The sequence below is a fragment of the Homo sapiens genome, chromosome 20 (genome assembly GCF_000001405.40).
Source record: "Homo sapiens chromosome 20, GRCh38.p14 Primary Assembly".
Lineage (NCBI taxonomy): Eukaryota > Metazoa > Chordata > Mammalia > Primates > Hominidae > Homo > Homo sapiens.
In genome coordinates, this window is record NC_000020.11 from 44,559,468 (window position 1) to 44,573,819 (window position 14,352).

The 14,352-nt window shown below is 40.8% G+C and overlaps 1 protein-coding gene across 9 annotated transcripts in view; it reads left to right on the forward strand.

The window, feature by feature from the left end:
* PKIG (cAMP-dependent protein kinase inhibitor gamma) overlaps positions 1–14,352 on the forward strand; it is an 87,163-nt gene that overhangs the window by 27,593 nt on the left and 45,218 nt on the right. For 2 of the 9 annotated variants that reach the window (XM_047439849.1, XM_017027616.2), the window contains exon 1: positions 4,724–4,873. The exons of the other annotated variants lie outside the window; for them this stretch is intronic. The gene's annotated coding sequence lies outside the window, so the exon portion shown is untranslated. Of the gene's footprint in view, positions 1–4,723; positions 4,874–14,352 lie in introns of those variants that run through there. 9 annotated transcript variants of the gene reach the window in all.

Genomic DNA, 14,352 nt, shown 5'->3' on the forward strand with positions numbered 1-14,352 from the left:
AACCAAGGCAGGCCAGGGAATCATCATCCTGTTTTAGCTGAAGCAGCCAGGCCAGTATGTTGCCATCACTGCCCTTGGACACTGTCAGGAATAAATTCCAACTGTTCCTTTGTCATAGTGTCATTTTTTAAGGTTCAGAGTCCCAGTGAGACTATGCACAATGGGGAAGTACCCCCAAATAGAAAGAAGTGACTGGATGTTGGAAAACTTAAAAAATGATACATTTCCATTACATTGGTATTCTATTGTATAAACATGCCATAATTTATGTATTAATAACTAGCCACTTCTTGGTGAATATTCAGATTGTCATATTCAATTTTTTACTAGCAAAAACCACTGCTGCAAAGAAAATTATTTATGTCTTTGTGCATTTTTGTAAGTATATCTGTGAGATTAATTTCAAGAAGACTGTGCTGGATCAGAGAGTATGTATATTTAACATTTTGATGTAGCGCCGGGCATGGTGGCTCATGCCTGTAATTCCAAAACTGAGAGGCTGAGGTGGGCGGATCACTTGAGCTCATGAGTTCCAGACCAGCCTGGGCAACATTTTTTTCATGGGCAAAACCCGGAGAAGAAAATATGAAAAAAATACAAAAAAAAAAAGAAAGAAGGAAAGAAAAAAGAAAATTAGCTGGGCATGGTGTTGCACACCTGTAGTTCCAGCTACTCAGGAGGCTGAGGTGGGAGGATGGTTTGAGCTGGGGAGGCGGAGGTTGCAGTGACCAGAGATTGTGCCACTGCACAGGAGCCTAGGTGATAGAGCCAGACCTTGTCTCTAAATAAATAAATAAATAAATAAATAAATAAATACCATTGTGATGTATATTGTAATTCATGCTTAGAAGCTTTCACTGGTTTACACTCCCATCTACAAAGTGAACTGGCTTTTAACTTACAAGATACAAAGTTATTTATGGCCATATATTCAGCAAAAGCCACAAAGTGTCACACCAGGTGAAAAGGGAAGTCCAAGTTTCTGAGGTATAGAGTTTCAGTATTTATCAGGTAAGCATAGCTACCAAAGCCATTTTTGTTCTGGAAGCATTTGCTGATCCCGAGAAAGCATTTTTTAGGTTAAGCTGTATTTTTGGTGTCTTCATATATGAGGACAGAATTCTTAGCTTGTTGTCCGTCAAGGATGGGGAATCAGATAAACCACTTTTTTAGTTTGAATGGAACCCCTAAGGGCATAAGAGGGAACTTGAACTAAGCCAACCCTCACAATAGCCTTGCCACCAAGCTTCTAGGTGTAGGGAATGTAGACCAAGATCTTTCATCATTATGGTTCTCAAGTAATAATGCCATCAGGCAGCTGGCAGAAGCAAATGCAAATTTTCTCTCGAGGAAGATGTTATCATCCCGGACATCAAAATAGTCCTCTAAATAATTTTTTATGTAATCACTAGCACATGGGATTAAAACCAGGTTCACAAAGAAATAAGATACCATGAAAAGAATTAGCAAAAGCCATATACAACAAAAGTATCAAAGCCATGAGATACTGGAATTTCAGATGCAGAATGTAAAACACTGTATTTACTATGCAAAAAGAAATAGAAGCCAAGATAAAAACGTCACAATGGGCCGGGTGTGATGGCTCACGCCTGTAATCCCAGCCCTTTGGGAGGCCTAGGCAGGTGGATCACCAGGTCAGGAATTCAAGACCAGCCTGACCAACATAGTGAAACCCCATCTCTACTAAAAATACAAAAAATTAGCTGGATGTGGTGGCGGGCGCCTGTGATCTCAGCTACTTGAGAGGCTGAGGCAGGAGAATCGCTTGAACCCGGGAGGCAGAAGTTGCAGTGAGCCGAGATCGCACCAGTGTATTCCAGCCTGGGTGACAGTGCGAGACTCCGTCTCAAAAAAAAAAAGTCAGTAAGTAGACACTGTCAAAAGTGACAGCAGATTTGAAAAAATCCAAATAGACATTCTAGAACCAAAACATATAATAATCAAAAACAAGAATGCAGTGGATGTATTTAAAGTAGATTACCTAGCAAGAGAGAACTAGTGAACTAGAAGATAGAAGAAAATTCTCCAGAATAAACCTTCAAGAGATTTAAAAAATGTAAAATATAGAAAAGATGATTAGAGAATTAAAACGATCCAGTGACAAGTTCTAATATGCATTTAAAAAAATTTTTTTTTCAAGTTTTTTCTTGCTGCAGTGTCCAGGCTGAAGTGCAGTGGCTATTCCCAGGTGAGATCATGGCACACTGTGGCCTCAAACTTCTGGCCTCAAGTGATCCTCCCACCTCAGGTAAATAGGTGGGACTGCGCCCAGCTTTAATATACATTTAATTAGAATTACAAAATGAGTGGAGCAAGAATGGTGCAGAAGCAATATTTGAAGAGATAATTGATGATCATTTTCTAGAACTGCAGAAAGATGAATTTGCAGATTCAAAAGTGTATAGCCTTAAAGAAAAGCTAAAAGCTAAAAACTGAGCAAGCATCCATCTTGTAAGTCAGATCACATTTTGTAAGTCAGAGAAAACACAGCAAAATAATTCTGAAGAAGATAAAGAGAAGCTAGGCATGGTGGTGCATGCCTGTAGTCCAAGCTGCTTGGAAGGCTGCAATGGGAAGATTGCTTGAGTTGGAGGCCAGCCTGGGCAGCATAGTGAGACCCCACCTACCCTGTCTCTAAAAGAAAGAAAATAAAGGGAAAGAAAGAATGAAAAGAGTAGAAGTTATGAAGTATAAAGCAAATGTATAGCAGGGAAAATCAATGAAGCCAAAGTATGATTCTTAGAAAAGATTAATAAAAATGATAATACTCTGATTAGGTTGATCAAGAAAAGGAAGACAGAAATAAAGAAAGGAGCACAAATAACCAAAATCAAGAATGAAAAAGAGGGGGCTGGGCCCAGCCTTTAATCCCAGTACTTTGGGGGACCGAGGCGGGCAAATCACTTGAGCTCCGGAGTTTGAGACCAGCCTGGGCAACATGGCCAAACGCCATCTCTACAAAAATTAGCCAGGTGTGGTGGTGTGTGCCTGTAGTCCCAGCCACTCAGGATGCTGAGGTGGGAGGATGGCTTGAGTCTTGGAGGGGGAGGCTGCAGTGAGCCTAGATCGTGCCACTGCACTCCAGCCTAGGGGACACAGTGAGACCCTGTCTCAAAAAAAAAAAAAAAAAAAGAGTGCTTAAAAAAAAAGAGTGAAAAAGGGAGATAGTATACTCATTAACAAAATAATGATACTATGAATACTATGAATAATTTTAAACCAAAATTTTGAAAATTTAGATGAATGGATAAATTTATTAGTAATATAACTATTAATAAAAATGGAGTCATCTGGGCATGGTGGCTCACGCCTGTAATCCCACCACTTTGGGAGGCCAAGGCAGGAGGATCACCTAAGGTCAGAAGTTCGAGACCAGTCTGGCCAACATGGCGAAACCCCATCTCTACTAAAAATACAAAAATTAGCTGGGCGTGGTGGCCTGTGCCAGCTGCTTGGGAGACTGAAGCAGGAGAATCGCTTGAACCCAGGAGGCGGAGGTTGCAGTGAGTGGAGATCGTGCCATTGCACTCCAGTCTGGTTGAAAGAATGAGACTCCATTTAAAAAAAAACAGAAACCAAATGGAATCAGCAGTTAAACTCTTCCCTTAAAGAAGACTACTAGCCCATCACTAGGAGTCTACCAAGCACTTAAGAGAAAGAATTAATATTACACAAATGCTTCCTGAGAATAGAAAGAGATTAGCAAAACAAAAAACCTGACAGTGACATTATGAGAAAGGAAAAATCATAAGCCCTTTTACTCAGGAAAATTTCTACATTTTACTATGAAAAATTCCCAACTATATATTAGCAGAGCACAATCCAATATTTTACTTATTATTGTAGTATAACAAACTACCAAAGTTTTGTGGCTTAGAACAACTGATTTTTTTTTTTTCCAGAGATTCTGTGGGTCGGAAGTTTGGACTGGGCACAACAAGGATGGTTTGTTTCTGTTTTTGTCTAGGTTCCCAGCTGGGAAGACTCATAGGAGGGCTTGGAATCAAGCCCTTGGCTTGTTGATCTTTGTCGTGTCAATTTCTTGTTTTTCTTTTTTCTGAGACAGGATCTTGCTCTCTTGCCCAGGCTAGAGTACAGTGGCATAATCATAGCTCATTGTAGCCTCAGCCTCCTGGGCTCAAGCGATCCTCCTACCGCAGCCTCCTGAGTGGCTGTGACTACAGGCACATGCCACCACACCTTGCTAATTTTTGTATTTTTTTGTAGAGATGAGGTCTTACTGTGTTGCCCAGACTGGTCTAAAACTCCTGGACTCACGTGATCCTTCCACCTCAGCCTCCCAAAGTGCTGGGATTACAGGCATGAGCCACTGCACCTGGCTGTCTGTCTTACCAGTTTCTAAAATCTCTTTATGGGTTAAGGAAATAAGCTATTTATATTGATAGGAAATATAATTTCCTCTAGCCTGACATTTGATTTTTATTTTGCTGATCATGCTTTTTGCCATGCAGAATATTTTTATACATAGTCAAATTTATTAATATTTCCTTTAATGACTTCTGGATTTTATATCATAGTACTTGGAAATACCTTCTCCATTGTGAGGTCATAAAATATGCCATGTGTTTTTCCAGTGCTTTTATGGTTTCATATTTTTACATTTGGATTTGTGGATCCTCCAGGAGCTATTTTTGGGGTGAGGTAAAAGACTACTTATTAACCTCGCTTTTCTCAGTCAGATGGAGAGATTAATTTTGACTGTGGAGAAGGGGGCTCTGGTAAAGTATCTTGATCATCTCTTAGGGTATGGGATTGTGAGGAATTACTCTCTTTTCACCCAAAGGAATTGGAATGAGCATCTGAAGTCAAAACTGCCTCTCCTCTACAGCAGGTGGGAAAAATTGTTTTAAACTGAATCCTTTTTCACTGTTCCTTCTCATTTCCTAAGACTTTCTGCTACCGTGGTATCACTGGCCTCATGACATGTTATGATTTTGATCTCGTTTTTGTACTATTTTAGTGTTTTTTTTTTCTGATGTCATGAAAGGACACAGCTTCATTTTATGTATAAGCTCTCTCTAAATTGTGATATAGTGTTGAGTTACTGTGAATTCTAGCCGTTGTTATTATTATTTTTTTTAGAGATGGGGTCTTGCTGTGTTTTCCACAGCGAGAATCAGAGCTCCTGGGCTCAAGCCTCCTGCCTCAGCCTCTTGAGTATCTGGGACTACAGGTGTTCCCGGCTTTAGCCATTATTTCTAGGATCAGTTTTGGAGGGCTCTCCTTTCTTGTTTTGTTGTTTGATCCCAAGTCCATCTCAGGCAGTGGTCTTTCTGTAACTTTCTATAACACTCCATTCATTTATTATATTATAAGATAGGCTGTGAATATAGGAGAAAACAGACCTTCATGATCATGATTTCACATTCCTATCATTGTTCCAGACATGTATAAACCTCTCAGACCTTTGAGGCTTAGTCTAAGATAAGTCCTTTGAACAACCAGTAAAAATCATTAATAAAAATAAAGAAAATCAGCAATTCTTTTTCTTCATTAGGACGTGTTGACCTTGATACGAATACTACTATGCTACTTGTTCTTGGATGAATGATACCAACTTTGACCTGGGCGCTTATGAAAATATTTTAAAGCATCACTTAAAAATTACCTTTCTCACCATTCTAACTAAAGCAATAGGTTTTGTGTGTTAGTGGGTTTTTTTCTAATGTCTACTTATGTTCATTTATTAAGCGCCTTCTGTTTGTCAGGCCTTCTGCTAGTGCTGGGACTATAGAGTTGAATAAAATATAAAATTTTCCATCTACTAAGGGAGATAGAATATAACAAGTAGTTATAATGTACAGTGCTGTGAACTATAATAGAAGTGTTATTGGGGGCATGTATTGGTCAGGATTCTTAGTAGCAAACAACAAAATTCACTGTAGTTGGCATAAGCAGAAAGGTAGTTTTAACATCTGTGCTTGGATGTTACACAGATGAAAGTGAAGCAATCACAGACAATATTTCCATGAGAAATGGTCAACCCCACTAAGGGGGACTCTTCTAGAGAAAACACCACTGCTGCCTTTACCAGCACTGGTGACATCAGATACTGGACATCAGAAACTGTCCCATAACAGTCCTAGAACATGGGCTTATAATTTTCTTTACGTTTTCTAGTGCAGTTAGATGCAGTTAGCCCATTCATAATCTTTATATCCTTCATGCCCTTCATTGGTCTATAGCAACTACTACTGGGTTTGAAATAGCCCTGACTTTAATATGGACTTTACCTCAGGCAATCATAGGTGATTATTTTATTATTTATTTAGAGACAGAGTATTGCTCTGTCGCCCAGGCTGGAGTGCAGTGGCACGATCTCGGCTCACTACAACCTCCGCCTCCCGGGTTCAAGCAATTCTCCCTCCTCAGCCTCTCGCGTAGCTGGGATTATAGGCACCCGCCTTCATGCTCGGCTAATTTTTGTATTTTTGTAGAGATGGGGTTTCACCATGTTGGCTAGGCTGGTCTCGAACTCCTGACCTCAGGTGATCTGCCCACCTTGGCCTCCCAAAGCACTGGGATTACAGGCGTGAGCCACCACACCCAGCCAATAGGTGATTATTTTAAAACTCTTACAACATTGCATGCCACTAACTACCCGCATCTCATTCTCTAAGACAGAGATTGGGAAACTATGGCCTGCAGGCAAAATCCAGCCTGCCACTTGTTTTTGTAAATAATTAGTTTTATTGGAATACAGCTATGTTCATTTTGTTTACACATTGTGTGTGGCTGCTTTTGCACTATAGTGGCAGAGTTGAGTAGTTACCACAGAGACCACAAAGCCTGAAGTACTTACTGTCTATCCACTTACAGAAAAAGCAGAAAAAGTTTACTAGCCGCTGTTGTAATGCTTATTAAATTCTCTCTGCCTTTTAAGTCCAGCAGGTGAGGTAAATCAGTTTCTTTCAAACTTTTTGACTTTGAAAATAAGATGCACAATTTATATTATGACTCATGCATGCATATCATATATTATATGTAAATGAAACATTTTCTTCTTTTCATTCTATTCTATACCGTTTCATGTTTTGAAAAGTATGCTAGTCCCAGCTGGGCATGGTGGCTCATGCCTGTAATTCCAGCACTTTGGGAGGCCGAGGCAGGCAGATCACTTAAGGCCAGGGGTTCGAGACCAGCCTGGCCAACATGGCGAAATCCCGTCTCTACTAAAAATACAAAAATTAGCTGGATGTGGTGGTGCACACTTGTAATCCCAGCTACTCGGGAGGCTTTGGCAGGAGAATTGCTTGAACCCAGAAGGTAGAGGTTACAGTGAGCCAAGATTGTACTACTGTACTTCAGCCTGGGTGACAGACCAAGACTGTCTCTAAATAAATAAATAAAAATAAAAATATGCTAGTCCCAGTCTACTAAATTGATTTCATGTTCCACAAATCAGTTGTAACCCATAGGTACATGAATAGGCATGTTCCATTCATGAATTATCCAAGATCTGTTTCATTTCCTTAGGAGTTTTGTCTGCATTCCCTTCTGGTTTCCATTACTCAATCTGTCAGGATTCTCAGGTGCTACTAACAATAAGTGTCTGCTCCAGCTGGTTTAAGCAGAAAAGCATTTCTTAAAAAAAAGTAGGGATCTTACAGAATCTTATAGAGGGCCAGATAACAGATCCTAGTGCTACCTAGATGGCAGTTAAGCAGCAAATGAAATGCAGGCTGGGGAAAGCCATCTAACTACACCATGAGACTTCCCTAGAGAAAACCCTATTCCTGCCATTGCGCAGCACCTGTGACCCTAGGGTCTGGCTACCAGATATCCTGCAAGGTCAGCCCCGTAAGAACTCAGTCTCTGTGATTGTCTCACCAAAGCTCCTTGAAGGAGGGCTCTCCTGGCTCAGGAGCTCAGAGGCTGCTCAGGGCATTTCTACCTTTTGGAATCCTGCTTCATTTTCATCTCGCTGTTCTAAAACTCCTAATTTTTCTTCTCCTATTTTATTTTCCTTTTCTTCAGCTATCTACTTTGCTCCTTTCCTTCTCCTTTTCCTTTATCCTCATACTCATCTTGGCCATTCCTATCATCAGGTGGCGTAACTCAAGGCTGAGGTCCCTGAACAGAGCTTAGAGCTCATTTCTTCCCACTTTCAGTGTACCTTCAACGGCTTTTCTAGCTACTCCTCATTGAGGTTGTCCAGCTTGTGTTTCTTGTGCACCTTCCAGTGCCGGGCACAGGCTGGGCAGCACACCTTCTGGGCCAGGCCCAGGATTAAGAACAGGAGCAGGGCCCTAGAGACTGAGACTGTTCCCGGCTGACAGAGTGTGGCTTATGTCTCTCTTCACCATTTTTAATGGCCAGACAATGTGTTTGATATTTTGATTATTTCTATTATTTCACTATTATAAATAACTCTGCCTGTAATCCCAGCACTTTGGGAGGCTGAGGCTGGCAGATCGCCTGAGCCCAGGTGTTTGAGATCAGCCTGGGCAACATGGTGAACCCCCGTCTCACAAAAAAAATACAAAATGAGCTAGGCATGGTGGCGCATGCCTGTAGTCCCAGCTATTCAGGAAGCTGAAGTGGGAGGATCACCTGAGTCTGGGAGGTCGAGGCTGCACCATGATCATGCCACTGCACTCGAGCCTGGGTGACAGAATGAGACCCTGTCTGAAAATAAATAAATAAATAACTCTGATATAAATGTCTCTCTCATTTATAAGTCAGTGTATGCACATTTTGTAGCACTTGGTATGTATTTTCCAAAGGAACTTAAAAATAACTTTTCGTATTTTTTCTTTTTGTAGAAGTAATGCTATATTTTAGTGTAAAATACTATTTTATAGAAAAAATTTAAAATACCAATAAGAAAATAAAAATTACCCACAGTGTCATCATCCTGATATGCTACTGATTAATAGTTTCTTCCATTTTTTTCTACTTTCCGTTTTACAGACATGAGCCCCTTCTACATATAGGGGCTCACCTTAACATTAAAGTGAGACTTTTTTTTTTTTGAGACAAAGTCTTACTCTGTCGCCTGGGCTGGGGTACAGTGGCACAACCTCTGCCGCCTGGTTTCAAGTGATTCTCCTGCCTCAGCCTCACGAGTAGCTGAGATTACAGGCACCTGCCACCGCGCCTGGCTAATTTTTGTAATTTTAGTAGAGACGGCGTTTCACCATCTTGGCCAGGCTGGTCTTGAACTCCTGACCTTGTGATCCACCTGCCTCAGCCTCCCAAATTGCTGGGATTACAGTCGTGAGCCACTGCACCTGGCTCTTATGTGACTATTTTTTTTAATGTCATCAGATATTCTTCGATAGTATCATTTATTGTGACTGTGTAATATTCCATTCTGTAGATTTACCAAAGTTTATTTAACCACTGCCTAATAGTGGACTTTAAGGATTTTCAGTTTTACAGTTTTCTGAACAGTGCTGAAGTGAACAACTTTAAGTCAAGTCTTTGCACACACATCTATAGTGGTTTCTCTTGGATAGATTCTTAGATGTAAGATGAGTGGGTCAGAGAGCATTTACATTTTTTAATTAAGAAACTTTATTTTTTAGACCAGTTGTAGGTTCCCAGTGAAACTGCACAGCAAGTACAGAGAGGTCCCATGTCCCCCCTACATTTTTAAGGATTTCAGCACATATCGTCAAATTGCCCTTTAGGAATGTTGTACCGTTTTCCATTTTCACCTACATTTTCTCATATCTCTGCAACACTGAGAAATATCATTTAAAAGAAATCTTTGATAAGGCACATGTCTAGTAGAATACCTATTCCAGTCAAGCTAAGACTAAATTTTCTCTCTCCTGAAATTTATATTTACATTATTCAGTCCATTATTATTTATTGTGGTTAGTGATCACACAGTTCCACCAACCTTCCTTCTTTGGCCAATTTAACAAAAATTATAAAACTAATACATAGACACAAAAATAAACATTCAGAACAGAAAGATATAGCGATGAAAGTAAAAAAAATCCCCACTTGCTTTAGCCAGGCCTTCTGAAAGCGGTTTGTTTTTTACTTTAATGCTTTTTTGTAATTGTGGTGGTTACTTCCAAAACTGTAAATAAAATATACATAAACATGTAATTTTTATTTTTTTTGTTATTTTATTTTGTCATTTTATTTATTTTTTTTTGAGGTGGAGTTTTACTCTTGTTGCCCAGGCTGCAGTGCAGTGGCGCGATCTCGGCTCACTGCAACCTCGGCCTCCCGAGTTCAAGAGATTCTCCTGCTTCAGCCTCCCAAGTAGCTGGGATTACAGGTGTGAGCCTTGCCATATCGCACACTCCCCGTGTAATCCTGCTGTCCAGAGATATACAATTTGGTGTATTGTATATCCTTTTAGAGATTTAAATGTAGGCTGGGCTCAGTGGCTCACGCCTGTAATCCCAGCACTGTGGGAGGCCAAGGCATGAGGATTACTTGAGACCAGAAGTTTGAGACCAGCCTGGCGACACAGTGAGACCCTGTCTCCACAGGAAATGAAAAAAATTAGCCAGGAATGGTGGTGCATGCCTGTAGTCCTAGTTATTCCAGAGGCTGAGTTGTGGGAGAATCACTTGAGACTAGGAGTTTGAGGTTACAGCGAGCTATGATGATATCACTGCACTCCTGCCTGAGTTACAGTGCAAGACCCTGTCTCGAATGAATCAATAAATATATCAGTAACAACAAAACATGGACTGTGAGCCAGGTACTATGCATAGTCTCATTAAATCCTCATAGTGTCTGAGATGGGGGCCCTTGTTTACCAAAACGTAAACTTGAACCTTATGGCTAACTGGTGACTTGCCTAAACATTTCCAGTATTTCCTATGATAAGTTGTATGCAATAAATAAGATGTATCTAATTATGTGTTCTTGTGTGATCATCTCCATTTAATACATTTCCACAACTAGGATGGTTTGGTTTAAAAAGTGTGCACATTTAAACTATTTAAACTTTTGTATCATCCTGAGGGAGGTAGTTTAGAGTGTGGACTTTGTCGTCATACATACCAGTATTTAGATTCTGACTGCCACTTACTGGCCACTCACTAAAATGAAACTGTACATCAGTTTACCTATCTCTAAAATGGAAGGATAACAGAAGCCTCATATGGCTGTGAAGATTAAATGAGATGCTGCTGCAATGTCCCTGGCTAGTGTGCAGCACCTAGGAAGAATGGTGTCCAAGACAGACCAGGCCCCTCATCTCATAGAACTGATATTTTAATGTGGGACAGGAGGAGGCAGCAGTGAAAGGCAGTAAAGAAATGAATGAACAACAAAAAAAAGTGGTGCTGTATGGACGCTTAACAGAAAGTGACATGATAGGTAGATGGGTGGTTATTTTAGGTTGGGTGGCTTGGGAAAGTTTTTCTGAAGAAGTGACATCTCAGCTAAGGTCTCAGTGATAAGGATAGTTTTATAATTCAAAAATTCCTAGAAATAAAAACATGGGATCAAACATTACATGCATTAGGCCAGGCACCGTGGCTCACGCCTGTAATTCCAGCACTTTGGGAGGCCGAGGCGAGTGGATCACTTGAAGCCAGGAGTTCGAGACCAGCCTGGCCAACATGGTGAAACCCCGTCTATACTAAAAATACAAAAATTAACCGGATGTGGTGGTGCAGGCCTGTAATCCCAGCTACTTGGGAGGCTGAGGCAGGAGAATTGCTTAAACCCAGGAGGCGGAGGTTGCAGTGAGCTGAGATCGTGCTCTCACTACAGCCTATGCGATAGAGAGACTCAAATAATAATAATAATAATAATAATAATGACAAAATGACCTGAAAAAATTTTTAAATAATTTGCATTCTATGTATAGACATGCCTCTTTTTCTTTACCATTACCAGAACTTTTTTCCTAATGTAAAAAAAAAGTGGGGTTGTTCAAAGATTGTCTTAGGGACCTTCTAATGAGCTTTACTGGCAGAGGGAAAAGATAAGAAAATGTGTAAGTCCCTTTTAGGAATCTCTTCTATTTCCTCTCCCTGTGTTAATTGTCTACCATCATCCATTATACTATAAACCGTTGTCTTCACTTTACTGGCCTTTTTCTTTACACCACATCCTGCCTACATTGTAGGACTGGAAGCTGCCAACATGCATGTTAACTAACAAGCACTTTTTCGTCTTTAGAATTAGGCAGTGCCTGGGTCAGGGGAGATGCAAGATTCAGAACAGCAATGCTTTTGCTATAAAAACAAGGCAGCTTTTAGGGTAGACTGGTTTTTCCAAACAAATTCATTGTTAAGGCTGTAACACGTTCTGTGAGTTAAAACTGTGCAGAAGGCTCTGCACATATGTTTGTTACAGTTGAGCCTTTTTCCTGTATGGCATGCAATGGGGGCAATGGGCATTGGTGAACACTGTACACTACCATTGCTTCCACAGGTAATAAGACCTCTTGTTTGTAACGTGTATATGATTACATATTGTGGATCTGTTCTGAAAGCCTTTAATCATCGTAGAAACGTTCTCTTTGTAGGGCTTGAGCAGGCCTCAGCATCTTTACGACAATATACATGTTTTTGTTTGTTTGTTTTGAGACGGAGTCTCGCTCTGTTGCCCAGGCTGGGGTGCAGTGGCACAATCTCAGCTCATTACAACCTCTGCCTCCCGGGTTCAAGCAATTCTCCTGCCTCAGCCTCCCCAGTAGCCGGGATTACAGGTGCCCACCACCACACCCGGCTAATTTTTTTGTGTTTTTAGTAGACACAGGGTTTCACCATGTTGGTCAGGCTGGTCTCCAACTCCTGACCTCAAGTGATCCACCCACCTCAGACTCCCAAAGTGCTGGGATTACAGGCGTGAGCCACCACGCCAGGTCAATATACGTGTTAAATTATAGACATCACTCAGTTACTGTTTTGTTCATGTATGGGGCAAATATATATTTTTATAGAATATACATGTATTATAATTTAATTTCTGATTCAAGCCTTAAAGAAAATATGTAGTTCAAACTTGGAAATAAATGGATTAAAAGTCACTTGCTCTTAAAATGTGGTTTCTTTTTATAATCTTTTAAAATTCAGCAACTTAAATAAAACATCCTGAGGGCAACATGTGTTAGTGAGGGGGACTGGGGGTGGCGTGGGGAGGGAGTGTGTTTGATGAAATTGTCCAGGAGCAAAGCACCACTTACTTGAAGCCCAGAGATTTGTCATCCAAATATGTGCAGATTGCTGGGCTATAAATAGTTTGAACTCAAGTAAACAGCCTCTTCTCCCTAACTGCTGCTTGGCCATTGTTCAGATGCCAGCACAGACTGAGGAGCATCTCACACCAAGCTCAAGGCTCTTGTGCCCAAATTTTGGGCTGCTTCTCTTGTGGGGAGAGCTTCAGCTACCCTGACTTGAGATGACCAAGGGTCACATGTTCACCCTCTTTAGTTATCCCACGTTTGGCTCCCACCCCTATGCAACCTGATGTACAGTTTCATAAACATGCCTCTGCTCTGATGAGTAGCGCTGATCTAAGAAGATTCCTGGCAACTATTAAAAAGCCCTGGGGCCCCATGGCTGTTGACTGAAGTAGATTTAGGAAGCACAGAAGTTCTTTTTTCAGGGCAGAGGCACGCATGGCTCATTTCTTTCTTTGGAACTAAGTAGAGTGGCACTGGTTGTCAGAACTGCTGCAGGCTGCCTGTGCCAGCAACTCATCTGCTCTGTGCCAGGCAGGCAGGCTGCTGACATTTCAAGAGTCCCTTTGAGGACTCCAGCAACATGCTGTCATTAGAGCAACTGAGGACAGTCCATAGTTTATTAGTATATTTCCTTTGGAAAAAATGTCTCCCCCTCTCTCTCTCTTTAAAATTCCTGCTTTAGCTGCATTGCTGCATTCATGTGCAGTGACTCTTATGTCAAATGCCTATGAGGAGATTATGACTAATTTAACATTTTGTTGTTGAGAGGACATAAGGAATGGTAGAAGGAGTACTAGATTAAGGATCAGGAGCCTGGATTCTTGCGCAAGTTACGTAACTTTTCCTAGCTTTGATTTCTTCATTTGTCAAGTAAAGATAGTCATGTCCCTCCTGTTTCTTGGGGTTGATGAGAAAATTTATGTAAAGGTACTTTCTGGACTATACCGAACAAATGGAATGCAAAGGAGAAGTAGGGTAATGGAAGGAGCTTGGTGTTTGAGTCTCACAGGCCTCGCCCACACTGTGACCTCAAGCAAGTGGCTAATGTCTCTCAGCCTCAACCTTTTCATCTGTAAAATGGGAACATCTATACTTGCCTTGCAGGAGTGTTAGAAGGATTAGAAATAACATATGTAAAGCACTGACAAATGGCAAACAATAGTTGAATAGCAATAATTGTTATTATTACACTTAAT